The sequence below is a fragment of the Homo sapiens genome, chromosome 11 (genome assembly GCF_000001405.40).
Source record: "Homo sapiens chromosome 11, GRCh38.p14 Primary Assembly".
NCBI classification, from domain to species: domain Eukaryota; kingdom Metazoa; phylum Chordata; class Mammalia; order Primates; family Hominidae; genus Homo; species Homo sapiens.
Genome location: NC_000011.10, coordinates 89,582,235 through 89,594,484, shown reverse-complemented (window position 1 = coordinate 89,594,484; position 12,250 = coordinate 89,582,235). Strand labels below are relative to the sequence as shown.

Here is a 12,250-nt window from a genome sequence, read left to right as displayed (position 1 = left end):
TGATTCAATCACAAACTAAATCTCTATGTTTCCTGCTTTGTTGTTGTTGTTGTTAGGGAATTAGGGGATTCCCTGGTATAGCAGTGTCTTTGTTACATCCACTTCCTATCTTACCTCTTTTCTGAAATATTTCAAGTTCTCCCTGCCAGTGCACCAGGAGTAAAAAGTCCTATTTATATTGTTCCTCACTGTGTATGTCATTGCTTCTATCATATTCTGGAACGCTTATGGTACCATACTTAGATTCAGGATGGCCAGCATTTCCAGCCATTGATGACATTATTAAGAAACAGAATGATAAACTATGGCTGAATCATTTACAATGCTAGGTGTTCCTGGCAATAAATCTCTTATGACAATGTATCTGAGGCTGGGCACGATGTCTCACACCTGTAATCCCAGCATTTTGGGAGGCCCAGGCAGGTGGATCACTTGAGGTCAGGAGTTCGAGACCAGCCACACCAACATGGTGAAACCTCATCTCTACTAAAAATACAAATTAGCTGGGTGTGGTGGCACATGCCTGTAATACCGGTTACTTGGGCGGCTACGTCAGGAGAATCGCTTGAACCCGGGAGGCGGAGGTTGCAGTTAGCCGAGATCACACCATTGCACTCCAGCCTGGGCAACAAGAGTGAAACTCTGTCTCAAAAAAAAGAAAAAAAAGAAAATATATCTGATATATTCCAGAAATGAAAACTACCCTCAATCTGTCTGTATCCGATGTGTTTTTCCCTGGTATTTCCTTAGTAAGCTGCCTGGATGGAATGCGTAAAACAATAACAGCATTGCTTTTTCACGTAAAAGTTTGAAATCTTCCCTTCAAATACAAAAATATTTTTCACAGTCTTTTTTATTAGAAAGTCACCACTGCAGTGAGGCGAAAACATACATTCTGAGAAGTTACAGTAGAAATGACAATTTACAAAACAAACTGTGCTATGATTTGCATAATGTGTAAACTATACTAAACCATGGCATGCAACACAAACTATTTAAGCTCAAAATGTTTTAATGTCATCTTATTCAGACCCACACTTTCCAAGATAAAACCATAGATAAGTGGCTATACCCTCAGTCTGAACTCATGTGTTTCAGAGAAAAGACTATTACCTGTTCTACTAATTTCCCTGTTTATCGATTCTGAACAACACCTGCCCAGACCATGCTCACTAACTTTATTCTAAAACCACTTTGTCTGCCTTCTCCCGACCAAAAAACCTAGCAGTACCTTTCCCTAAATTTTCCCCATGAGAACTATGGGTACTCTGGTAAATGTTCTGTTTTCCCTTGTTCAGTCAACTTAATAAACTAAGTTTTGTGTGGTTAGCAGATCCCTGATGATCTTTTCATGGAAGCTTGTGTCATTCACACATGATGACATTGCTTTCTTCATCATCCATCATGGTACCCACACTGTGTTCTTTGCTCCTAGAACTTAAATACTTGGCCCTAGGGATATATTTGTCTCCTGTTAGATGTTGAACAGGTATCTGAGAAGAGATAAAGACTAGGTACTTATTCTTGTTCAAACTCAGTATTTATTGGCTGACTTTATATCTATCTAAGGACAGTCAAAACCGGGTGGTAGCCAACCACTTTGCTTTTGAGTGATGACTCTGGTTCTGCAGAATCTATGAAATTGAGTCACAAAAGACAATGATGTGCTTATATTCTCAATCACTAGACTCTGGTTTTTCTTTTTCTTATATGATGCTACCAATGCCAGAGGCTGAAACAAGGACAAATGTGCAGAGGTTGCATATCGCCACACAGCTGGAAAATGGCTTTGACAAGCACACAAAGTATTCTTGCTGTGGATAATTTCCTTTCAACATAAGTAATATGTGTCCTCCATCATGACCTGTGTGAGGTTGGACTACATGATTGTTAGGTCTCTTCAAACCCAAGACTACTTTATGTTATAAAAATTTCAAAGTAGGTAAACTTTGGCCTTAGTCATTATTCAGCCCATCTTTTTTCCCTGCTCTTCTGACATTGCTTCTGTTTGCTACCTTTCACTAGTGTTCATTGATGGTTTTAGTGTATTCATGTTGTCCTCATTTACCCAAGATCTTTATTTTAGGCCTGTTGCCAAGAGCCAAACTTCATTCTCACACATGTGATTTTATTTCCTGTGTTAGAACCAAAACAATCAGAATTCAGTTTTTAATAGATGAAAGTTACAACTCCAAAAGAAATTTGACTTCATCAGGACCTTCCTGAAAGAAATAATCACTGAACCAAAAAATGGATGTCCATGTATCATTTATATAGCAGTTGCCTACCTTACATATACAGTATATCAGGTTAGAGCTGTGCAATAGTATTTTATAATTTACATTATGAGCATGGATCAATGGTAGAGTCAACAATCCTACCTTTCAATCTGTTGCCTCACAGGCATTTGTTGGACACATTTAAAAACTAGCTGACTTATATTAAACATAATTGTGTGCTAAACTATATATTTGGCCTTCTTATCTCATTGAATTGAATGAGATAAATCTAGAAAGAAAGATTTTATAACTCCCATTTTGTAGGTTTTAAGAAGTTAAGTAACTTACTCTATATCACATATTTGGTAAATGTTAGACTTTGCTCTCAAGCTTTCAATTTGGCTGAGTAAATAACAATATTCACGGAACAGTTATAAAATAACATGAAAACACAAAGCAAGTCACAAGGCACTATTAATTGCACCCACGTAATTTGGGAACTCTATTATCAATTTTCTGAATTAAAATAAAGGAGGTATTATTGTGAGATGGACTGTATTTAGAAAGCTTCCTAAAAGAGATGGATAATTACACTGGGTTGTGAAATATGTACAATGGCAGAATGTTTGTCGAAGGGAGGAATTTCAGAGAACACAGGAACAATACATTATTGGAAAGAGAAACTAGTAGGAGCACTGACAGATTATCAAATTACCGAGAAAATTTTCAATGGCTAGTGAGGCCTTGAATGAGGGATAGGGGAGGGAGAAATCAAAACTAAATAGCTATTAGTGTTGAGGGAGCTGTGAGGTGGAATTTGTGGCCACACTCCCCTTTCCCTCCATGAGCCACTTGGTCTATAAAAAGACTGGCAACTAAGGTTTATTCAAGCGGAATTCATTGGTATCCACACTAAGAGTTTTAAAAGCCACATTGTGACATACAGAGAATTTGGATGGATGGCCTGACAACAGGCAAACATCAAGGAAATTTATTTGTTTATTAGTTGGTCAGTTAGTTTGTTTGTTTGAAAGTTGCCTTTCTCTGTCTTTTGACAGATAAAAAGATGGGAACATATATAACTGAGAGTAAGAGAAAGAAAAAATTAAAATTCGCCTACAATGTGGATGTGGTAAATGAGAAGGAAACTGATATGTTTTAAGTACCTAATGTGAGCCAGAAACTGTACTATTTTTTTTTTTTACACATTGATTCACTTAATCCCCATAACAACCATAAGAAGTAGATGTTACTTAAAGAGGGGGCACTAAAATTTAAGGGATTTTTTTTTTTTTTTTTTTTTTAGTTATACTTCAAGTTGAAGAAAGAATTTACAGAAGTTTAATACCTGGCCTAAAGTCATATAGTTAATAAAAAATAAAGTATTTAAACCAGTTCTCACTGATATCAAAGTCCATTGTCTCTCATTAAATGAATCTCATATTTAAAAAAAAAAAACCTTAATAATTTACTGAGATGAAGCATTCTTAGGAAATTTAATAAGCAAAATATTCAGATAAAAATTAGTATTTAAGTCAAGCATTTCTGTGCAACACATCAACCCAATAAAGTGGTTTAAAACAACAAATTTTCTTTTTTTTTCTTTTTTTTTTCTTGAAATGAGGTCTTATTTTGTCTCCCAGGCTGGAGTGCAGTGGCTCTATTACCAGAAAGGGGTCCTGAGCCAGACCCCAAGAGAGGGTTCTTGGATCTCACACACTCTATGACTCCATAGAGTAAAGTGAAAGCAAGTTTATTAGGAAAGTAAAGGAAGAGAGAGGGGCTACTCCATAGGCTAGGCAGCAGCATAGGCTGCTCAGCTGCTTATACTTACTGTTACTTTTTGACATATGCTAAACTAGCAGTGGATTATTTATGAGTTTTCCAGGAAAGGGGTGGGCAATTCCCAGAACTGAGGGTTCCACCCCTTTTTAGACCATACAGGGTGACTTCCTCATGTTGCCATGGCATTTATAAACTGTTATGGTGCTAGTGGGAGTGTCTTTTAGCACGCTAATGCATTATAATTAGCACATAATGAGGAGTGAGGACAACCAGAGGTCACATTTGTTGCCCTCGTGATTTTGGCTGGCTTGGGCTGGCTTCTTTACAATATGCTGTTTCATCAGCAAGGTCTTTGTGCTCTGTACCGTGTGCGGACCTCCTAACTCATCTGCAACTAAGAATACCTTAACCTCCTGGGAACGCAGCTGGCTTCAGCCCTATTTTACCCATCCCCTATTCAAGATAGAGTAGCTTTGGTTTGATCGCCTCTGACAGCATGATTTTGGCTCATTGCAGCTTTGACTTCTCCCCGGCTCAAGTGATCCTCCTGCCTCAGCCCCCCAAGCAGTTGGGACAATAGGCACATGCCACCACACCCAGCTAATTTTTGTATTCTTCTTGTGTGTAGAGATGGGGTTTGCCACATTGCCCAGGCTGGTCTTGAACTCCTGGGCACAAGCTATCTGCCTGCCTCGGCCTCCCAAAGTGCTGGATTACTCGTGTCAGTCACAGTGCCCTGCCCAACAACTTTTAATTATCTCTCATGCTTCTCTATCAATTAGGTCCTCAGCTGAGTCGTTCTGCTATATTGCATCAGATGTCAGCTGGTTCTGCAGTCATCTGGAGGCTCTGCTGGTAGAACTCCCAGCACACTTCACTCAAATGGCTGGCTGCAGCTGGTGCTAGTTATGGTCTGGGATCTCAGATGAGGCTGCTAAGCCGAATGTGTTGTTACTCCTTTACATCGTCTCTCCACATGGCTTGAACTTCTCACAGCATGCCTGCTGGATTCGAAGAGATGGCATTCAAGTGCTTAAAAATGTAAGCAAATCTCTTAATATTCAGTCTTAGTATTACATAGGGCTTCTACTGCCATATTCTCTGGTTGAAAACAATCATTGGATCAGCCCAAACTAAAGGGGTAGAGAAAGAAATTCCACTTCTCAAGGAAGGAATGACAAGTTTTGGGCCCTTTTTAATCAACATCCAAGTAAGCTGCTTGTGATGAAAGTGAAGGTGGGGAACGGAAAAAGTGGGAAGGTAAAGATCAAAGCAAAATGCTCCAGAGTCCTTAAAAAGCTAACCGTGTAAGCTTGGATTCCAAGAGAGAGACTCCAGATGGAGCTAGGAATAGAAAGATTTCCTAGTAATTGGGAGCAAGGTAGATGAACATTTACAGTTTCTCCTAATTTCTGTAGTCAGGCTTCAGGTACAAACTTAGGCTAATATGTTGTCTGTTAATTATATGTATTTCTTAATCATATATTGGCTGAGGAGATACCTTGGGAGGGTTGAGAGGGAAGATAACTGAGAGATGGTGATATTGCTAATACTACCGATATACGGGACCCCTCTGCAATTACATCTTTTAGTTAATTTCATGTGTATATATTCAGCCATTGACAGTATAATCTGTATCCTCTGTGGGTAGGAGCCACAGCACTGTATTTATTTCGCATTCTCAATCACGCCTACAGATTCAGTTCATTCAGACTGTTGTAAAAATAAATGCGGCTCAAAAATGCAGCTCCCCCATGTAACCTCCTAGGCAAAAAGAGACAGAATAAAATCAGCCAACCATTTTTTCACAAAGATTGCTGCCTAGTAATTTCAGGGAATAAACTTTTAGTTAATACCGTAAGTGCAGAGGCCTGCAGCATACACCCAGGTGAAAAGTTTCACCCCACATTGACCTGTCTTAGGGAGAGGCAAGCACTTGCTGAAGAAGCAAGTTCTCATTACTAATTAGTAATTCATTATTGCATGGTTTCAAGGGAAACTTATGACCTGTTAAGACTAAAAATGAACACAATCATTAATGTTTCCATCACTTTGGAATAGGAAACAATTTCAGTCTAAAGTGCATGATTTCTGGAATGTATTTCTCGATGCTTCTGTTTTTTGTTATAATATTTCTTGAAAGCCTGGTTAAAAAAATAAAAATAGCTATGTTTAGCCTAAAATGATTACTTTTCTCTGCCATTGACAATGAGGTAGCATTTACTACAAAATTGGCATTACATGTTCTTTGCTATGAACATAACTTTATTTGAATCAAAAAAGTCAAGCAACAAAAGTTTAAACTCATTTCTTTGAATTTTGACAAGGGTGTAAAACTGGGATAATTTTCATTAAATGTGTTATACATTTAGCAGAGTAAAAGCAAATAAGTATTTATTCACTACTGAGAAAATTACAAATTATAATCATGTGGGATCCTAACACCGGAATAGAAAACAAGAGAATAGATTATAAGAAATAATAAGAAAAACAATTGGGATTTTTTCCCCCAGAAATCTGGGGGCAAGTGTTGCAATGAGAAAACATAAAGTTACTGATTATTGTATTTTATTGTCAAATATCATCTTAAGTCATATTGAAAATGTGGCCATCTGTTCTCCAGTGTCTTCAAAATCTAAGAATAGCCCAATCCCAATCCTTTCAAAAACATTCTAAAAACAAAGGATGAAAATTATTTATATTGGTAGAGATAGATATTTTAATTGAAATCAGTTTATAAATATATAACATTTGATAAATCTGAACACATAAACCATTTTTAACTATTATAAAATTATTGATTTCTGCCTCCAAAATTCCAGTGAAATTGTCCCTAAGCCACTAATCCCATGGTTCTATTGGTTTATGGCCTGTTTGAGACATTTTGCTTCTCTTTTCCACTCCCTCTTACAATTTTTTATTCCCTTGGCTTTGTGGGCACCTCTATGCCCTGGTAGTTTTCCTCCCCTCTGATTGCGTTCATCTGGAACGCAATCCTTTCCCTCTCCCACCTTTGTTCCACATGTCTGTTTCAAATCACCCATTCCTATTAATAAACTCATTATAACTTTTGAATCTCAGAATCTCCATCCCTGGACTATCTGAAACTCGCCATTTTAAAATTCAGTACATTATCTTCTTACAAAAAATGTTTTCCATCTCCTTAATTAATGTACCTATATAGCGGCATCACCATTTTAATAGTCTCCTTGGAAAGAAATCTAAGCCATCGAGGTGCCTCTATCCTCTCCCTTCTATGTTACTGCATCCAATATATTAAACTCTCACAATTCAGTTTCTGGCATTTGTCTTGAATTCATTCTTTCTTCTCTGACCCCATAGGGTGCCAGCCCTCCATTCAGTCTTTTTCCTCAACAATTCTGATTATTTTTTCTGTGTCTTTGCTCCCAAAAGTTGCCTTTTTTATCATCTTGGGAGCTTCCTCTTTATAATATGTACACTAGGACATAAAACTAAATAAAATCTCTCCATTTTCTAAGAAAAAACATACAGATTCCATAGAATCCGTGCAATAGCTATCAGTCACCTAATTGCTAGTTTCCTCTCCTAACACTCCCAGTCCTTTCACCTTTGTTATCTAACATTAGAGGACCATGCCAACTGAAGCCTATCTCCATGTCAATGTACATGATTTTTCTTCCTCCTGAAATATTCTAAAATTTTCCCACCTGGTAAATTTCAGATTACTCTTTAAGACCCAGGTGAAGTGTTGTTTTATCTGCAAAGAGTCTCTTAAGGAAGTTCATTCTCTCCTATTTGCTATAATATTAATTTGAACATTTCTTTATTATTACCTGATGTTGCATTGTATTTATGAAGGATGATTGTATGCATGAAGGATTATACCACTAAACTTCAGCTTCTTGAAGAAGTAGTCCATTTCTTCTTGATCTTTATATTACCAGTGCCACAAATAAGCACTAAGAATACTTAAATGAGTTACTTGCATTATTTTGCATAATGCACTTTAGTGTTTGGCAGGCCTATACTCAAAGCTCACTCTGACACTTAGTTGGGTGATTCAATTACCTAATTTCTCAAAATCACATTTGCCTCATCTGAAGACATTGGTACCTACCTCACAGAGTTGTTGTGAGAACTAACATTATATAATGCATGTGAAATACTTAGCATAGTGTCTGACACTTAATAAGTACTCAATAAATTCTGACTGCTACTATTATAAGGCTTCAGTTGAATAGAAAAGGAAGTAGAGACAGATGAAATAGAATGGTTTGGGATAAAATTGAGAAGTCAAAGGAATGAAAGCTTAATTAATTTGAGTGATCATTTTGGTAGAGATAAAGGAATGAGAATAACTGGAATAAAAGGAGGTTGTAGTGAGAGAGTGTTATAAATTATTATATTCTGTCAGCAGTTTAATGTTCTGCTCTAGAGCACTGCATTTTGATGACATGATCCAAAATACTGTCATAAGTAAGGGTAGACAAGATGGATTGTAAGATAATCAGAGTTGAGGTGAACAAGAAATTAAATGTTGTGAAATATTATTGTTGAATTTGGAAATGTTTATATTCAGTGATTGTCATAGAAATTTCAGATAGTAGATAGGCCTTGGGTTAAGAGGAATAGTGTGAATCAGTCAGCAGATTCTTTAAAATATGTTCAGGAGTGACCAAGAAATTGGTAAAGAACAGTGATGTGAATGGGTTAAAGGATGACTTATACAAGGATGGGAGTACAATGAACTGGAAAGTTAGATTTGTGACTCAATCGTTTGCTTTTGTGAAACAAGGCATACGGGAGGATGGACACTCTCTACTGTAAAGCAGGGGCTGATCACCAAGGCCCTTAAATCTGGCCTGCTGCTTGTTTTGTAAATGAAGTTTCATTGAAACACAGCAACACTCATTAATTTATACATTGTCTGTGGCTGTTTTTGTGCTGCAGTGTCAGAGTTGATTAATTGCAGCAAAAACCATATGGCCCATGAAGCCTAAAATATTTACTATGTGGCCTTTTATAGGGAAAGCTTGCTTAACCATGTTCTAGAAGTTTGCAGCCAAATCAGTGTCTTCTAATATATGCTAGGGTATAATTAATGCAAGGAATTAGAAAAGAATTTTGTGTCTAGTTGAGAACATGAAGAGGAGTTTACCACAAACAGTGGATTTCAGAAGGTCTGGTGAATTTTAAGAGAGGTAAGAAAGGAAGCAGGAGAAATTGAATGTGTCCAGGAGGAGCAGCATTGAGCAATATGAGAGTGGCTCCTAGAAGGTGGTCAAACTGAAAAGCTTATCTTTGGGGCAGTGACTAAGAATTTCTAAGCATAACTAAAGAGGCCTAATGACACCTAAAGAATCATGGTGTCAGGTTCTATAAGCGCCGGTGTAAGCTAATGCCTCAGGTGATGCCAGATACCTGACAATACAAAATTCGCCCACCCAATAATGGTGAGGCCCTGGTTGGGATCCTAAGCCTGGGGACATTACTGCATAAATAGAAGTAATTATACCAAAAACAACTTAACACCCCTAGGCTACAAGTCCTTGTATATCCCAAGGATTGCTAGACCACAAACCAAAAATGAAGACAATCATTGTATATGAGCAATCTATCATTTCATTTCACAGTATAGCATCTAGATAGATAGATGAGTGATAGAATGATCTCTCTCTACATGCAGAAATATATATCAATATATGTATATACATTATCTTATCTATCTTTAGTCATTCTTTTTCAGGTAGAGAATTCTAGATGGGGGAATTTCAATGCTCAATTCTTGAACTACACATTTTTACTTAGGACAAAGGAAAATAGGCTGTACTTTTTAGAATATAAAATATTCATCATTTCCCAATAAGCATTATAGTTACCACAGCCTGCTTAAAGTTGTTCATTGTTAACTGACATTCAAACTGTTTGGATTTCAAGTGAATTAAACTGTCAAAGCTCAGCAGTATATTTATCATCTGTGCTACACACACAAATTTATTTACCACACACTTCAAACATCTGTTACTACATTTTAATAGTAGTTGTTGACATGACAGAGTAAAAAAGTAAAATGAGTCCATTTAAAAGGTTGATTATGGTGCAAAACTGGTAAAAATGTCATGCATGTGTATATCCTTCAAAGATATCTATGAGCACAGGGAATGTGATCGGGGCAGCAAATTTAAATCCAGAGGTACAGAAACACAGTGAGCAACCTTCGGTGATATATAAAGACTCATATTTAGTTTTCATTTAAGGCCTAGATAATTCCTGAGGAGAAAATGACAATACAATGTAATTCTCTTATTGCAAAGTAATAAGAGAAATGAATATAAAGTTCTGCCTGAGGGAATGAGAAATACTTCACAAAGAATCAAATTTTTATCCTAAGAAGAATGAGTAGGAATTCACTACCCAAGAGGAGAGACTGTGTTTGGCTTGCCTTACTGTTACGATAGTAACAGAAGGAAAGTAAGAATGTGAAAGTCAGGTAATTTTTCAAAGGCATCATTGATTTTAACCATTACTCAATTTCAGATATACATTCAGTTGTGTGTTGATACAAATAATTATTTACCTATCTTTTATTGGTTGCATTCATTTATCCATTCCTTTTAAAAAATATTTATTGAACCACTGCCATGTGCGAAGTGCAGTAGTAGTCCTGGGTAAACAAAGATGTGAACCTTGGAACGTTTACTCAGGTAAAAAGACAGACCTTAGAGGGATCAGTGCAATTCCTGGAGTAATGTTACCACAGAGATGTGGTAATGTTGTAATGTGTAATGTTATCACAGGGATAGTAATGACAGAAGTTTTTCCCATTGCTAGGTGGGAAAGTCTTAATTAAGGGGATAACTTATTATAGCAAATCCACAAAAGTATAATTTTTGTAAGAAAATTTTTTATGCTCTTTTTAGGATAAATCTTTGATAGTAACCAGGCTGACAGACAAGGCAAGGAAAACTTTCTGTTTGTTGCCACTGGAATGGAAGCAATAAAGATTTTTCAAATATGTTGCATAGCATTTCAATGTGGAAAGGGAATTAGTTTAGCTAATCCATTTTACTTTTAAAGAGTTATAAGATTACTGCACTTATCCCATTCAAGAAAGAAATTATTGCTGACCTCTAAAGTCTCTTCCAACACTGACAGTCTGTTAGTTAATAACCATTGGAAATGTTAAAAATAAACAATATTAAGTTTCACCTGAGTTTATGCAGTGCTGAGGACAACGCTTTTTTTTTTCTCAGACATCAGAATGGGTTGTGGCAGAAATTCCTCTCTTATTTCTCCAAGACATCTTATCATATTTGTAAAAGTAATTAACTTCAAGTACATATTTTCTGATCATTTTGGCCATTGTTTGTAATGTAAAAAGATAAATTATACTGCTATGCTATATAAAAGAATAAAAGAAGTGGTGTTATTTTGATTGTGTATTTTTAATTTTAAAATGTAGATTATTTTAATGTTATATTCAGTAATATTTTTGAAGTTGCTTGTATGTGATTCAGTTATTTATAGCAGGCTAGGACCAGACCTAGAACAAAATCTTCCTGTATAGGAGGAACAGGCGCTGCTTATAGAAACTGAATAGCAGATGCTGAGGGGAAGGACAGTCTGAAGGACAGAATGCAGTATTCAGAGCAGTGTCCTGATAAGGAGGTTTGAGGAGGGCATAGAGACAAATTCCAACAGCAGCATTCAGGATTCCAGGAGAAACGCCTGAAGGACACCTGTCAGCAGGTAGCTCACTGGATTGCAGGCACTGGCCTGAGTTTCAACGTTAAACTTTAAGCAGGGAACCTGGAGAAGCAAAATAAGCCACAGTCTTAGAGAAGCTGGGGTCACAGACATGTCACAAAGACTTTTTAGGCACAAGAAACAATCTAAATATCCAGTTACCAGGTCTAGTATATTGGGAGGACAGTGAGTTCAAAGAAAAGCAGTAGTTCAAAGACAAGTTTTGTGGGGAATAGGGAATCCTTGTACACTCTTGGTGGGAATGTAAATTAGTGCAGCTATGATGGAAAACAGTATGGAGATTCCTCAGAAAGTTAAAAATAGAATTATTTGATCCAACAATCCCACTTCTGGGTATATATTCAATGAAATTGAAGTCAGGATCTTGGAGAGATATCTGTACTTTCATGTTCATTGTAGCATTATTCACAATAGCCACAATATGGAAAAAACCTAAATATCCCTCAACAGATGAATGGATAAAGAAAATATGGAATATATAGTGTGTGTTTACATGT

General features: G+C 36.7%; 1 protein-coding gene across 1 annotated transcript in view; it reads left to right on the top strand.

Moving 5' to 3' along the window:
- Window positions 1-4,927: 4,927 nt before the first annotated feature.
- Window positions 4,928-12,250, top strand: part of NOX4 (NADPH oxidase 4) — a 265,205-nt gene continuing 257,882 nt past the window's right edge. The window contains exon 1 of the mRNA NM_001143837.2: window positions 4,928-5,045. The gene's annotated coding sequence lies outside the window, so the exon portion shown is untranslated. The remainder of the gene's footprint in view (window positions 5,046-12,250) is intronic.